This window comes from Homo sapiens, chromosome 11, assembly GCF_000001405.40.
Source record: "Homo sapiens chromosome 11, GRCh38.p14 Primary Assembly".
In the NCBI taxonomy this organism is placed as follows: Eukaryota; Metazoa; Chordata; class Mammalia; order Primates; family Hominidae; genus Homo; species Homo sapiens.
Window position 1 is genome coordinate 33,968,697 of NC_000011.10, and position 3,381 is coordinate 33,972,077.

At 45.0% G+C, this 3,381-nt stretch overlaps 2 annotated features.

Annotated features, from left to right (window-relative positions):
• Positions 926 to 1,220: a silencer, noted in NCBI's record as "tiled region #12713; HepG2 Repressive non-DNase unmatched - State 21:Repr". NCBI's record gives its function as "represses a minimal TATA promoter and a strong SV40 promoter by Sharpr-MPRA in HepG2 cells {active_cell/tissue: HepG2}" and the evidence as "EXISTENCE:reporter gene assay evidence [ECO:0000049][PMID:27701403]".
• Positions 2,366 to 2,660: a silencer, noted in NCBI's record as "tiled region #9356; K562 Repressive DNase unmatched - State 8:EnhW". NCBI's record gives its function as "represses a minimal TATA promoter and a strong SV40 promoter by Sharpr-MPRA in K562 cells {active_cell/tissue: K562}" and the evidence as "EXISTENCE:reporter gene assay evidence [ECO:0000049][PMID:27701403]".

Below are 3,381 nucleotides of genomic sequence, written 5' to 3' on the forward strand. Positions count from 1 at the left end.
TGAATAAATGGCCAAGTGTGGTGGCTCATGCCTGTAATCTCAACACTTTGGAAGGCCAAGGTGGAAGGACTGCTTGAGCCCAGGAGTTCAAGATCAGCCTGGGCAACATAGCGAGACCCCATCTCTACAAAAATTGTAAAAACTAGCCAGGTGTGGTGGCGCATGCCTGTGGTCCCAGTTACTTGGGAGGCTGAAGTGGGAGGATCGCTTGAGTCTAGGAGGTTGAGTCTGCCGTAAGCCATGATGGCACCACTGCACTCCAGCCTAGATGACAGAGCGAGACTCTGTTACAAAAAAACCCAAAACTGAATAAAGATTTACAGCACATTGATTCGATAAAATTTCTATTTATTAACCTGTCCAGGTGCTCACATATTTCAGTCTGGATGCACCCATCAAAGCATCCATCACATAATAGTAACTTACCTGTGGCCCTGCTGGAAAGTCTGTACCATGATAATCATTAACATTTGAGTGGTTAATGCCAAGTGTTAATTCACTTAGTTATCAAAATAATTCCTTCGGGTGAATGCTATTTTCACTCCCGTTTTATAGTTGAGGAAACTGAGGCATAACAAAGTAAAGTAATTGGCAGGGCTGGATTTCAAACCCAGACAGTCTAGCTCTACCTGGTGCTCCAACCAGAATGATACACTCCCCCTTAGGATGGGACTGAGTCCTTTTACCTGAAACAGCCTCTGCAGCCAAGCACAGACCTAACACACAGAAAAATTTAATAAATGTTAGTTGAATGAATCTTCAATTAGTAGAAGACTGTTTATTCATTTCTTCAGTAAATATTTATCAAGTGCCTTCTATGTGGCCAGCACTATTCTGGGCACTGGCACAAAGTGGTGACAAGACCGCTGCAAGCCTGAGTGGCCTCTTGTTCAGCCTGACACACGATGCAGAAACTCCTTCTCCCACATTCCCACCTGATGGCCATCCCACCTCTGGTTCAGGAGATGGAAAGGCGATTGCTGTTAGATTCTTGTTTGTTTAAGAGACTGGCCTTCCTTGGCCTTCCACTTGAAGAAGCACAAACTTGCACTACAACCTCATGCCTATAACAGCCTTTTACATCTTGCAAGATAGTTCTAGCTCCTTCAGGTCTTCTTTATTCTAGGCTAGACTAAGCTTCCTCAGTTCCTTCATCAGTTCATGCTCTGATTACATTTCTGCAGGAGACAGCTTTCATTTACTTACTCATCCATTCATTTAAACTTTGCTTGCTGGGTGTGGTGGCTCAGTCTGTAGTCCCAGCACTTTGGGAGGCCAAGGCAGGCAGATCGCTTGAGCTCAGCAGTTTGAGACCAACCTGGGCGACATGGCAAAACCCTGTCTCTACTAAAAATAAAAAAATTAGCCAGGTGTGGTGGTGTGTGCCTGTAGTACCAGCTACTCAGGAGGCTGAGGCAGGAGGATCTCTTAAGCCTGGCAGACAGAGGTTGCAGTGAGCCAAGATCGTGCCACTGCACTCCAGCCTGGACCACAGAGCCAGACCCTATCTCAAAAAAAGCTTTACTAATGACTTACTATTAATATGTACCAGGTACTTTGCTAGGCCCTATGAATACAGAAATGAAGGGCATGGTTTCTTCCCTCAAGAAACGCATGGTCCACTGGGAGAATGAGGCATTTAGGGAAATAATTTCAACATTTCCTAGGTGACAAGTATAATAGAGATACAGTTATACTGAGTAGAACCACTCAGTGCTACAACTAGACTTTAAGCCGGCCACTCTGGGATCATTCAGTGTGGCCATGTTTATCTTGCATAGTGACCACGAGAATGAAAAGAAGAGCTAGGAAATAAATATCTCCACTGTCCTGATCTGAGTGTTGTCATTTAAAGGATGCAGTCCAGAACTGTAACTGATTTATTTAGCAGGTGGCTAACTTAAAAAAAAAAACCCTAGTATTAATTTCATGAAATGTTATCAGGCCCATCCTACACTAATGAAATGAGAGATAGATGAGAGATAGGCAGATAGATAGATAGATAGATAGATAGATAGATAGATAGAGAGATAGATAGATAGATGGATAAACATTTTGCATGTTTCATCCCTGGTAAATATCCTCTTATTTCAGTCTAGCAAAGCTCTCATATACAATACCAGGCCTTAGGAATCAAGGTCCAATTTCCAGCTCCATTATTTCAACCTCCAAGACCTACCTCATAGGTCTGTTGAGGGCATTAAAAGAAACAATGAATGAAATGATCTGGCACGTTGTAAGCCCCATAGTTGGTGCTCAATAAATGCTAGTAATATTTACTTGTGGCTTACTGGTTCCTCAAGATTCCTTAAAATCTGAATCTGGACACCCAATGTATGAGGCTGCGCTTCAGCTTCATGTCAGCTGCAAACCTGACAGGGTGTCTTCTAATTTTCAATAATCACTCCACTCCCAACTCCATTCCTCATCCGCATCTGCTTCCCTTCCATTTCCATCTTTGCTCGGCCCAAGTATCAGGCGCTATCTCAGAAGGTTGACAAACCAGCATTGCCACCTGGAGGACAGCATGAGAATCTGGGTGAGAGAACAATTTTATGGCACCAGATAAACCAACTCAGCTGTTCTGTGCCGGCACTAACGAGGCCAAGTTCAGAGGTTCATCCCCCAAAGGGGCCAATTAGCTTTACACTGAGAGGCACTCCGGAGTGCAGCCCCAGCCTCTAACCTTGGCCCCCAAGTTACACGTGTGTGGCTGTTGGTTAGAAGTGAATTCATCAATCCAATCCCATTTTTCATAATTTCTTTAAAACCCAGTTGTAAGGCAGCGTGGAAACAACAAAAATGCACAAGACCTTCTCCTTCCTCTTAAAGAAGCTTCAGCCTGCAACAGTGTTTCCCCAAATGAATCCTGAGACATTAATAGGAGTTATGAGAATAAGTGGCTCCAGTGTTAAATCAGTTTGGAAAACACTGATCTAATCAAAGTCGAGGAGCTTGTTTACGAAAGGGCTTTGCAGAGCTTGCTACATGCTAATATGCACGTGCTAATTTTCCAAGAAGGAAATGCAGTGTGCAGAGCTTCACAGATTTGGACAGCCATGGGCATCCGCACCTTTAAAAAAAAAAAAGAGGCCGGGCGCGGTGGCTCACACTTGTAATCCCAGCACTTTGGAAGGCCGAGGCGGGCGGATCATGAGGTCAGGAGATCAAGACCATCCTGGCTGACACGGTGAAACCCTGTCTCTACTAAAAAAAATACAAAAACTCAGCCGGGCGTGGTAGCGGGCGCCTGTAGTCCCAGCTACTCGGGAGGCTGAGGCAGGAGAATGGCGTGAACCTGGGAGGCGGAGTTTGCAGTGAGCCGAGATCGCGCCACTGCACTCCAGCCTGGGCGAGAGAGCGAGACTCCGTCTCAAAAAA